This window comes from Homo sapiens, chromosome Y (assembly GCF_000001405.40).
Source record: "Homo sapiens chromosome Y, GRCh38.p14 Primary Assembly".
NCBI classification, from domain to species: Eukaryota; Metazoa; Chordata; class Mammalia; order Primates; family Hominidae; genus Homo; species Homo sapiens.
In genome coordinates, this window is record NC_000024.10 from 21290743 (window position 1) to 21303889 (window position 13147).

The 13147-nt window shown below is 38.8% G+C and overlaps 1 long non-coding RNA gene across 1 annotated transcript in view; it reads right to left on the reverse strand.

Annotated features, from left to right (window-relative positions):
- Positions 1-12268, reverse strand: part of LOC107987347 (uncharacterized) — a 54946-nt gene extending 42678 nt beyond the window's left edge. Inside the window, exons 1-2 of the long non-coding RNA XR_001756079.2 lie at positions 11819-12268; positions 5413-5478 (exon numbers count right to left, since the gene is read on the reverse strand). This is a non-coding gene — a long non-coding RNA (uncharacterized LOC107987347). The remainder of the gene's footprint in view (positions 1-5412; positions 5479-11818) is intronic.
- Positions 12269-13147: the final 879 nt, after the last annotated feature.

Below are 13147 nucleotides of genomic sequence, written 5' to 3' on the forward strand. Positions count from 1 at the left end.
AGATGGGTAAGTAAATTAGATCAAACTGTATGAAGTGTTGCATGAAGATTTTCAAATAACTAAAAGTACATCTACTATATAATGACAATTTCATTACTAGGTACCTAATTAAAAAATAACAGGTCATTATATCAAAAAGATACCTTCACTTGCTTGTTGATCACAGCATTATTTATAGTAGATAAGCTACATAATCAACCTAAGTGTCCATCAATGGATGACAGAAAAAGTAAATATGGCACATATTTATACCATGCAATACCTTTCAACCATATAAAAGAATAAAATCATGTATTGTGAAGCAACATGGCTGGAACTGGGAGCTATTATCCTAAGCAGAATAATTGAGAAACAGAAAATCAAATACCACATCTTCTCACTTACAAGTGGAAGCTAAATAATAGGTATACATGGCCATAAAGAGTGGAAGGAGACACCTTACAGACTTCAAATGGTGTGAGGGTGAGATGGGTGAGGACTGAAAAATTACCCATTGGGTCAACATACACAAATTCATTACTATACAATATATTCATGTAAAAAACTGCACTTCAAACCCCCAAAATTACAAATGAGATTGCTTTTTATTTTCTTTATTACTAGTGAGGTTGAGCAACTCCATGAGTTTACTGGCCATCCATATTTCTCTTAGGTTAAATGCCTGTTCATATATTTTGAACAATTTTGAATTCAGTTTGCTGTGATTAATTATTCAGGAAATATTTATATACTCCATCATTGATTTTATACACTGCAAACATACTTTACCACAGTTGTAACTTCTACTTGAATTTCATTCATATGTTTTTTATAAACAATTTTTTTAGTCTATTCAATATTATAAACTATTTTCTTTGCATTAGGATTCTTTGTGTTTCATTAGAAGACACTTTTTCATTCTGAGTTTATAATGTTATTCTATAATTATTTCCTAATTTTTCTTCTAAAAATATGTGATTACTTTTAACACTTAAATTTTTAATCTATTTGGGGTTGACATTTGAATATGATGGATATAAGCTAGACATGTTTTTGCATTTTTATAGGGATAACAAACTTGCAGTGCTTGATTTGTTAATCCTTTTTCCTACACTAATGTTCTGCCATCTCTGTCATATTAATTCTTTATGTATACATTAATCTAAACTTAGGCTCAACTCATTGGTTTCTGTCACTTTCCCTGCATCAACACATGCTGTTTCTATAGTTGTATGTTGGCTAAGACCATTCTTCAGATGTAAAACAATAAATATATTATCTATTTTGTCTTTTGACTCTCACTTTAAGTTGCATGTGTTTTCTTGTTTTTGGTGATCTTTGTGATGGTGTGCTTCATTTTAACCTGTTGGACTATTACAGGCATCACTTATGGAGTCATTTTTCCAATGAGGTTAACCACCAGTTTTGTTTGTAGTCAGAGAGCACGATGTGCAGAATCCAGTTTTTTTTCCCTTTTTCTTTTAAATGCTATTCAATAACATATTTGTATTGTATGAGTTTTTAACTTCTTCTTTAGACATTAGTGTAAACTGAGAGCATACTCTGGGTAAAATTAGATGTAATAAAATAGAAAACTTTTTGGAGCACTTAAAATATGCCAGATATACTTCTAAATGTTATATATGCATTATCACATTTAATTTATATAACAACCAAACCAGATTGCTGCACCAAAGAAAGCACTGATTACTAACCACAATACATGTGCTCCTAATCTTAGCTCAAGCTTATTAACTATACAAATGTAGTTATTGATATGGCCATATGTGGTACTCTACAATGATTAGTGAAAACATGGAGTTTTCATAAAGACAAGAAGTGTCATTGACCCTGTTGGTTGCCTACCTAATGCCTCTCTTATTCCTGAAAACGTTTTTAAGATAAATAGCCTTCTTCCAACAGCTATATGGTTCAGAGTCAGCTGGACCCATCATCAGGCCCAATGGGTTTAGAGAAATTTAAGGAGTTCAACATTGGTCACAAAGATATCATTGACATAAAAGTGTGCCTAAATTTAGCTCAATGAACCACAAGGGAGGAAGGGCTTAGGAAAAGTTCTTCTTTCTCATTGAAAAAAGACACATAGGGTAAGGTCCTTATCTGCCACTAAGTCTTTACTGTTTTCAGATAATATGCATAGCAGGTGTTTGTGATCATAAAGGAAACTAACTATAGGATGAGGTCAAAAGTGAGAAACATGGAGTAAAATCTCAATGGAAGTAACCTAATATTTTTAATAAAATTACTAAACTTCAAATTATACCATACTGGGTACCTTATTGTAAAGTTAGTATTTTTTTTATAGTGAGAAATAATGCACATACTGCTATTGATGTAGTAAATATATATTTTTCTAAAAAACAATTTGGCAACATAGGGATTTTAGTTAAAAATTTATAATTTTGAAAAATTATTATTATTATTATTTTTTTTTTTTTTGAGACGGAGTCTCGCTCTGTCGCCCAGGCTGGAGTGCAGTGGCGGGATCTCGGCTCACTGCAAGCTCCGCTTCCCGGGTTCACGCCATTCTCCTGCCTCAGCCTCCCAAGTAGCTGGGACTACAGGCGCCCGCCACTACGCCCGGCTAATTTTTTGTATTTTTAGTAGAGACGGGGTTTCACCGTTTTAGCCGGGATGGTCTCGATCTCCTGACCTCGTGATCTGCCCGCCTCGGCCTCCCAAAGTGCTGGGATTACAGGCGTGAGCCACCGCGCCCGGACTGAAAAATTATTTTTTAACCAGAAATATAAATAAGATTTTCTAAACATACCATATGGCAGAGGAAATGGCGAGAATCTGACACAGAGGCTGAATTTAATATGCAGAAGGATGACCCAGAAAGGGAGATGAAGAAAGCATAGCCACACAGTTGGCAGAAATTGAAGAGAAAGATGTATCAAAGGAGCTAGATGTATTCTCACACTTCTATAAAACACTGTCCAAAACTGGGTAATTTACAAAAATAACTAAATAACTAAATAACTAAATAAATAAATAAATAAATGCCACACTGTTTTGCAGGGCTGGTAAGATCTCAAAAAACTTATGATTATGGAAAAAGGAAAAGCAAATCTTTCCTCCACAGGGCAGCAGTAGGAAGAATAATGAGAGACCCTGCAGAGTGAAGAAGGGAAAGCCCATCACAAAACTATCAAATCTCATGAGAACTCACTGACTGTAACAAGAAAAACATGGGGTAAGTGCCATCATGATTCAATTATGTCCCACAAATTCCTCCTCCAACATGTGAAGATTAAAATTTACATTACAATGTAAGATGAGATTTGGGTAAGGATACAAACAATATTTTTTTTCTCCTAACCTCCACATATTCTATGTTATCACATTTAAAAACATAATCATGCCTTTCTAACAATCTCCCAAAGTCTTAACTCATTGCAACATTTATCCAAAAGTCCAAGTTCAAAGTCTCATCTGAAACAAGGTAAGTTCCTTCTTATTATGAACCTGTAACATCAAAAGCAAGTGAGTTACTTTCTAGATATATCGGGGATATAGGCATTGACTAAATGCACCCATTTGAAGTGGAAAATTGTACAAAACAAAGGGGCTACAGACTCAGTGCAAGTCCAAAATCTAATAGAGCCGTCATTAAATCTTAAAGTTTCAAAAAAAATTTTGGACTCCTTGTCTCATATTCAGGCCACATTGATGAAAACTTGGGCAACCACAGCTTTTGGCGGCTGTACCCCTGTAGCTTTGCATGGAATAGCTCCCCATAGCTTTTATGGGGCTTTTATGGCTGGCATTGAGTGTCTGAGGCTTTTCCAGGTGCATAGTGGAAGCTGTCAATGTATCTACACTTCTGGTGCCTAGAGGACAGTGTCCCTCTTCACAAAGCTCCACCTGGCAATGCTCCAGTAGGAACTCTGTGTAGAGGTTCCAACCCCATATTTTCCTTTGGCACTGCCCTAGCATGGGTTCATAAGGTCTTTGGCCCTTCAGCAGACTTATTCTTGGACATCCAGGTGTTACCATACATGCTCTAAAATCTAGGCAGAGGTTCCCAAACCTCAAATCTTGTCTTCCTTGAACCCACAGTAAAAACACCACATGGCAGCTGCCAAAGTGGGGGGCTTGCACCACCTGAAGCAACATCCTGAGCTATACCTTGACCCTCTTATTCACGGCTGAAACAGCTGTGATACAGTCTCCTGGACCCACCCATAAAACCATTTTTTTTCCTCCTTTGCCTCAGGGCCTGTGATGGGAGGGGCTGCTGCAAAGACTTCTGACATACTTTGGGGACATTTTCTTCATGTCTTGGTGATTAACCTCTGTTTTCTCTTCACTTAGGTAGATTTGTACTACCTGCTTCAATTTCTTCCTAAAATATGGGTTTTTATCTTCTACCCCATTCTCAGGCAGCAGATTTTTTATAATTTTATGCTTTGATTTCCTTTGAATGTTCTGCCTCTTTGAAATTTATTCTGCCTTGATAAAAAACAAGTAGTTTAGACAATTCCTCTTCAAAGAGTTTCACTTTGCTACAAACAACTGTTCTTCTCCAAGAGGTCTTTCCTTCCTTGTGCTGTCTGTCCTGAAGTCTTACTTCCCTGTTCTTTGTCTAATCTTGCCCACCAATCTGTCAGCCCCTCCTGCCCTGCTGTGCTCAGGCATGCCCACCAAGAAATCACCCTCCTGCCTTCCCACCAGTGTAACCGCATTCCTGCACTCTTCAAGTTAGCCAACTGCATTCTGCTTAGATTGTGTGGTCTAACGGCAGCCAGTGGAGGCACATACACTAACAGGGACAAGCTGCATTAAAAATCATAAAAACTCCTGCTTTCCTCTGTTCTGGGTGCTCTTGCCATTGCTGCATAAACAAGATGCACCCTCCTGCAGGAGTAACTTTGCCTTGCTGAGAAAATTTATGTTTGAGTGCTATTTCTTTTGCAGCACTGAAAATTTCTTTCTAACATGCCTGGTACCCCAAAGTTCCAAAAATATCTTGGGCAGGTGGCAAAAAGCCACCAGTGTCTTTGCTAAAGCACATCAAAGCCACCTTTGCTCCAGTTCCCTACAAGTTTCTTTTCTCCATCTGATACCATCTCAACCTTAAGGTCATTGTCCATATTACTATCAGGATTTTGGTCACAGCCATTAAATAAGTCTCTGTGAAGATCCAAACTTTCTCACATCTTCCTTTCTTCTTAGCCTTTTAGGTCATAGGAAGTTTCTAACTTTTCCACTCTCTTTTTCTTTTTCTGAGTCCTATAAACGTTTCAACTTCTGCCTGTTACTGCCAAAGCTGCTTCCAAATTTTCAGGTATCCTTACAGTGGTATCTCACTCTTAGTGTTCTAATTTATGCATTGGTCCATTCTCACACTGCTAGGAAAGAACTGCCTGAGGCTATGTAATTTATAAAGAAAAGATTCAATTGACTCACAGTTTTGCAGGGCTGATAAGGCCTCGGGAAACTTGCAATCAGGGTAGAAGAGGAAGCAAGTGCATCCTATTTTACATGGCAGAAGAAAAGAGAAGAATAAAACAAATTCAGACTGAAGGAAATTAAAGCCTCTCACAAAACTATCACATCTCATGAGAACTCACTATTATGAGAACAGCGTGGGGGAATCACCTCACAGTTCAATCAGCTCCCATGAGATTCCTCTTTCAACCCATGAGGATTACAATTTTGATTACAATTTAAGATGAGATTTGGGTGGAGACACAGAGCCATACCACAGCACTAGATAAAAATGATTTTCAAATAGATAAAGAGGTAAGTAGAACTGCATGCTTGTTTAAAAACATGATGTAAACATAAAAATCCACTCTAGATTCCTAGACATGAAAGTCATGAATGGCCATAGCCAGAGTGAAGGGGCTGGAAGTGAGATTGATTTTGGTTTATTTCTAAGTATGTGTGGTCACCTATCAGAATGCAGCTCTCCTATCTCTTTTAAGTGAAAAAAAAAAAGAGTTATTACTCTAATTGCCATGACTGCCAGCCCACATTACTCAGCTACAAAACCCTTTTGAGGTTTGCAGAAAACCCACTCATTCAAGGCCACATCGCCATTCCCATGAAGGTCTACATACAATGAGTAACAGAATGGGTCCGAAGTCCCAGTTCTCTTGCCCTCCACTGCAGACCGCTCTGAAGATTCATTCCATTTTCCAAACTCCTGATAGGGTTGGATAAAGCTTATATTGAGACTGTATTGCAGCTCAATGTTTTTTCCATGCCCTCTGGCTTCTATGCCCTCTCTATGCCTTCTCTATGCCCTCTCTACTGCTTCTATGCCCTCTCTACTGTGTTGACCCTACGAGCACAAAGTGATCAATGTAGCATTGTGTATTTCTATCTAAGCATCTACTTTCCAAGCAACACACTTCACAAAAAAGAAAATTATGGCCTTACTACGGATAAGTTCTCTTAGCAGCAGAAAGTGAGAAATTTGAAATGATTAACTCCAATTTTTTTCAAAATGTTTGATAATTTAGGGAATGTAAGAGATATAACTTAAAAGACTACTTAGAGAGTTTTCTTCCTTTATATTTTTATTTTAGAGACTTACACTTTATAAACACAGACACTAAGGAACATTTTAAAAATACTTTAAAATGCCTGGAAGTAAACATTGAAAAAATATTTTTCCATGCATACAAACAAGAAGGTGTAAAGAACTTTCAAAGGACAAAAACAATAAAAAAACAAGACTTTGAAGAAATCATAAAGCCTTAAAGACCTTTGTTTTAATGGGCTTGATATAGGGAAAAAAAAAAAAGTAAATAACCTAGTTAAAGAAAAGTGCTGATCAAGGCTCCCTTGCACAGTTAAAACAACCAAAGAGGACACTCATATTCAAATAGGTATCAAAAGTGTACAGGCATTGTAATGGTTAATACTGAGTGTCAACTTGGTTAGATTGAAGAGTATTGGTTGGATGCAAAATATTGATCCTGGATGTGTCTGTAAGGGTGCTGCCAAAGCAAATTAACATTTGAGTCTGTGAGCTGCAAAAGGCAGACACACCATTAATCTGGGTGGGCACCATCTAATCAGCTGCCAGTGCAACTAGAATATAAAGCAGAGAGAAAAATGTGAAAAGACAAGTCTGGTCTAGCCTCCCAGCCTACATCTTTCTCCTGTGCTGGATGCCTCTTGCCCTTGAAGGTTGGACTCCAAGTTCTTCAGTTTAGGGACTCAGATTGGCTCTCCTTTCTCCTCAGCTTACAAACAGCCTATTGTGAAACCTTGTGATCATATGAGTTAATACTTAATAAATTCCCCTTTATATATCCTATTAGTTTTGTTCATCTGGAGAAGCCTAATTCAGATTTCAGTGATACGAGTGGTTCTAGAGGAAAAGAATATTAAGGATGGAGTTATCTTCTAGGTTTGAGTTTCTGGGATTGGATTCTTAATACTATTAAACCCCAAAATGCTAAGGACTCTACTTCTAGTAGTATGAAGACTGAGAGTTCATGACATGAACTATATAATGTGATGGTTAATACTGAGTGTCAACTTGATAGGATTAAATAATGCAAAGTATTGATACTGAGTATGTCTGTGAGGGTGTTACAAAAGGAGATTAACATTTGAGTCAGTGGGCTGCAAAAATAAATGCATTTGGCACTCCCGATGCACTGCTCACAAGAAACAAGGAGTTTAGTGATTTTATACATAACACCTTTGACTATATGTGGAGAATCAAGGAAAATAATGAAGCTGGTTGGTTGCAACTAAATTCAGTGGAGAAAGTGATGAAATAAAATAGTGGACTCAGGGATTTTATCTCTCAGCTTCAGAAGCAGATATTGAGCCTCAAATCTGCAAAGAATCGCCCTGCGTGAGAGTCTTATCTCCTGTAGAGAAAGAGATGAAATTGTGGAAAAACAGACACAAGCTCTTATCCTGTGAGTGGCTGACCTGCAAGGAAAGGTGCATGCACAGCCTCACCAGGTGTCTACTTTTAAAGAAAAGGCATTGATTGGAAAATAATGGGTCCCTGAAACTTGCAAGGGGGGCATAAGGAAGGACCCTGATGAAGCTGGGGACACTGAGTTTATAAACTCTGATGAACCTTTTTTTGCCAGAAGAAACAGCTTCCCCATCCCTAGCAATGGCAACATCCCCTCCCCATCTCATGTTGCCATCAGCATCTCCACCTTTGCATGAAGCAATAAACACTGCACTTCCTGAGGAAACAGTGATGGGGTCCCTTGAGGCAGTTTCCAGGCAAGATAATGCTGATTCTCCTGAAGAGGCACCCTGAACACCCCTGTTTGCTTCTAGACCTATAACTAGACTGAAGTCCTGGTGGGCCCTTGAAGGTGAGGTTGACAGTGTGACCCATGAGGAGGTGCATTACACTTGAACTGCTAGAGTTTTCTAATTTATATTAATAGAAATCAGGAGAAAAGTCATAGGAATGAATATTAAGGGTGTAGAATAATGGCGGAAAAAAACATTGAGTTTGATCACGCTGAATTTATTGATTTGGGCCCAATAAATAATGAATCTGCATTTAATGTTGCAGCTCAGGAAGATAAAAAAGTTCTAATAGTTTCTTTGCTTGGTTAGCTAAAATATGGATTAAAAGATGGCCCACAGGGACTGAGCTGGAAATGCCTGTTTGGTTTAATGTAGAGAAAGGGAAACAAAGGCTTAGAGACCTTGAGATAGTGGAGTGGATTAATCATATTAGACCCATTCATCTTAGCTGGGAGGGTCCAGAAGACATATCCTTGACCAATTCTTAGCAAAATAGGTTTGTGAGGGCAGCACCTGTATCTTTGAAGAGCCCTATAATTGCTCTTCTCTGTATGTCAGATCTAACGGCAGGAACCACAGTTACTCCACTACAAAATTCAAATACGATGAGAATAACTGGACCCCAAACTAGCAGGGAACAAGTAGTGGCATTCAACAATCAAAGGCAAGGTGGACATAGCTACTGTAATGGATGGTGCAGGCAAAGCAAGAAACAGAATAGTCTCACTCACTTAGAGCTCTGGTATTGGCTAATTAATCACAGTATTCCTATAAGTAAAGTTGATAGGAAGCATACTGCAAAAAAACTAATTGGAATTATAAAAAGAGAGAATCACAGCCCCTCAATCAATGTCCAGGCTGGAGCCCATTTTCAGACTGAGAAACTTTGAATAAAGGGGAGTCTGGGTTCCATTGAGGAAGGACCCTACTACTATACTGAAAGTTTATGCTGTTAATCTTTCTCTAATCCTTCCCCAAGGAGACCTCTGGCCTTTTATCCAGGTAACTGTGCACTGGGGAAGGGAAAATGATGAGACATTTTGGGACTACTGGATACTGCTTCTGAGATTGCGTTGATTCAAGGGGACCCAAAACGTCATTGTCATCCTCCAGTTAAAGTAGGGGCTTATGGATGTCAGGGAATTAAAGGAATTTTAGCTCAGGTCTGACTTCCAGTGGGTCCAGTTGGTCCCTGAACTTATCCTGTGGTCATTTGCCAAATGCCAGAATGTATAATTTGCATAGACATACTAAACAGCTGTCAGAATCCACACACTGCCTTCCTGAAAGTTAGGGTGAGAGCTATCGTGGTGAGAAAGGCCAAACAGAAGCCATTAGAGCTGCCTCTACCTAGAAGAATAGTGAATGAAAAACAATATTGCATCCCTGGAGAGATGCAGAGGGGTGTGAAAGATGCAGTGTCACCATCAAGGATGTGAAAGATACAGGGGTGGTGATTTCTGCCACATCCCCATTTTTGACTCTCGCATTTGTCCTGTGCAGAAGAAAAATGAATCTTAGAGAATGACAGTGGATTATTCTAAGCTTAACCAAGTGGTGATTTCAATTGAAGCTGGTGTACCAGCTGTGGTTTCATTGCTTGAGCAAATTAACACATCTCCCAGTACCTGGTATGCAGCCATTGACTCGGCAACTGTCTTTTTCTCCATTCCTGCCCATAAAGCCCACCAGAAACAATCTGCCTTCAACTGGCAAAGCCAACAATATACTTTTGTTGTCCTACATCAGGTGCATGTTAACCCTCTGGCATTGTGCCATATTCTTATTTGGAGAGACCTTGAATGCTTTACAATTCATCAAGCTATTACACCAGTCCATTACCTTAATGACATTATACTGATTGGATCCAGTGAGCAAGAAGTAGCAAACACACTGAACTTATTTGTTAGACATTTGTGTGCCAGAAGATGAGAAATAAATTCATCTAAAATTATTTCTTTTTAAAAGCTGGACCTCTGTGCTGCTTATGAAACATACATCAAACACAAGGCAAGAAACAGAAAATAAATTATGTAAATGGATATCTGGGAAAATTCTATGCCCCTAGTAAACAATGCATATTTTCAGATTTAAAGCAACAATTAATACTAAAGGGAAAATTATTGCCACCTACATAACAACAAAACTTTCAGTAGACTAGGAGTATAATACAGTTTTAATCTACACTTCTAAAATATAGACAGCAAAAATTAATGAAATTATAATAAATTAATTATCATGAAACATTTTAGTACAACACTCCAAGATTATTGGTTCAGCAGAGGTTAAACTATGTAAGAAGCTATTCAAAAACTTTATCTGATAGGCAGTTTTAGGCTATAGTATCTAGCAATGCACATTCTTCTAAAAATTCAGAAACATTTACAGACATACTATGCCATAAGGTAAGTCTCAATACATTTCAAAGATTCTTATATTATCAAGAACACATCTGATTCTAATACAAACAAGTATAAAAATATACATATTTTTAACCTTGTAAATTGGAAATATATGACAGACTTCTTAATTACACATAAAAAACACAAAACTTGAAATTCAGAAATAAATAATAGTTTAAAATATTAAGTATCAGTACTTTTGGAATCCTGCTAACAAGAAAGTTAGTGATAAATTAAAAGGTTGAAATGTTGTATTTCATGAAGAAATAAGAAAAGCTGACACTAATATGTGAATAATTTGTTACAAAGAATTAGGAAAAGAAGAAATAAGTACACCAAAAGAAACAAGTATGAATTAGAAAATAATGAACCAAGAGCAGAAGTTAATCAAATAGAAATAGAATTAGTACTTTGAGAAGATTACAAAGCTTACAAATCTCTGACCAGATTGATTGGGGAAGAAAGAACACATAATATCAAGACATAAAGAGAGGGCATGTTCAGCGAGGCAGCAGAAATTTAGAAATACAGCAGTATTAGGAACATCTTTATGCAAATAAATTTTAATTCTTCAGTGAAACAGAAAAGTTTTACAAAAAAGTCAGTTACCCAAACTGACACAAGAAGAACTAGAAAACTTCACTTGCTATATCATTTTGAAAAAAATGCATCCACATTTAAAATATCCCTATAAAAAAGTATTAGAATAAGTGGCTTTTATAGTTGCATTCTACTACACATTCAAGGAAAGAAATGTTTCAGAGAAGTGAAAAAGAGAAGAAAAACACAAAACCCTAATTAATTTTCAAATGAATAATTTCGTTACTACTTTCAAACAAAAAGCATAAGAATTAAGCCCAAAAAAGATTAATTTAACTTTAAAACAACAATGTGAAAACATGAGCAAAATATAAGTATATTATTTGTTTTCACACAGCTGCAAAGAAATATCCGAGACTGGGTAACTTATAAAGAAAGGAGACTTAACTGGCTCATAGTTTCTCAAGCTTTGCAGGAGGCATAGCTAGGAGGCCTCAGAAAACACACAATTATGCGAGAAGGCCAAGGGAAAGCAAGTGTGTCTTCAGATGGTGGCAGGAAAGAGAGTGTAAAGGGGGAAGTGATACACATTTTCAAAAAAGTCGATCTCATGAGACCTTACTTACTATCATGAGAACATAAAGAAGTCTGCTCCCATTGTGTCCGAAATTGGTGGGTTCTTGGTCTCACTGACTTGAGGAATGAAGCCACGGAGCCTCGCAGTGAGTGTTAACAGTTCTTAAAGATGGTGTGTCCAGAGTTTGTTCCTTCTGATGTTCAGATTGTTCGGAGTTTCTTCCTTCTGGTGGGTTCATGGTCTCACTGGCTTCAGGAGTGAAGTTGCAGACCTTCACAGTGAGTGTTACAGCTCTTAAAGTGGAACATCTGGAGTTGTTCACTCCTCCCAGTGGGTTTGTGGTCTTGCTGGCCTCAGGAGTGAAGCTGCAGACCTTCGTGGTGAGTGTTAACAGCTCATAAAGGCAGTGCAGACCCAAAGAGTGAGCAGCAGCAAGATTTACTGCAAAGAGCAAAAGAACAAAGCTTCCACTGCCGGAAGTGGACTCTAGTGGGTTGCCACTGCTGGCTTGGGCAGCCAGCTTTTATTCCCTTATCTGACTCCACCCACATCCTGCTGATTGGCCCATTTTACAGAGATCTGATTGGTCCGTTTTGACAGGGTGCTGATTGGTGCATTTACAATCCCTGAGCTAGACACACAGTGCTGATTGGTGTATTTACAATCCTCTAGCTAGAAGTAAAAGTTCTCCAAGTCCCCACTAGATTAGCTAGACACAGAGTGCTGATTGGTGCATTTACAAACCTTGAGCTAGGCACAGAGTGCTGATTGGTGGATTTACAATCCTTGAGCTACACACAGAGCACTGATTGGTGTATTTACAATCCTTTAGCTACAAGTAAAAGTTTTCCAAGTCCTCACCAGATTAGCTAGATAGAGAGTGGTGTATCCAGGAACCCCAAGCTAGACATAGAGTGCTGATTGGTGTATACACAATCCTCCAGCTAGACATAAAAGTTCTCCAAGTCCCTACCCGACTCAGGAGCCCAGCTGGCTTCACCTAATGGATCCCATGCCAGGGTCACGGGTGGAGCTACACACCAGTGCCACGCCACACATCTGCAGTCCTCAGCCCTTGGGCGGTCCATGGGACCGGGCACCACGGAGCAAGGGCTGGCACCCGTCGAGGAGGCTCAGGCTGGTGGGAGCCCACCACAGGGGTGTTCCAGCATGGCAGGCTGCAGGTCCTGAGCCCTGCCCCATGGGGAGGTGGCTGAGGCCTGGAGAGAATTCGAGTGCAGCATAGGGGGCCAGCAGTGCTGCAGGACATGGCACCTCTTCTGCAGCTGCTTGCCCAGGTACAAGCCCCTCACTGCCTGGGGCCGGGTGGCACCACTAGGCCGCTCCGAGTGCGGGGCCGCCAAGCCTGCGTCCACCC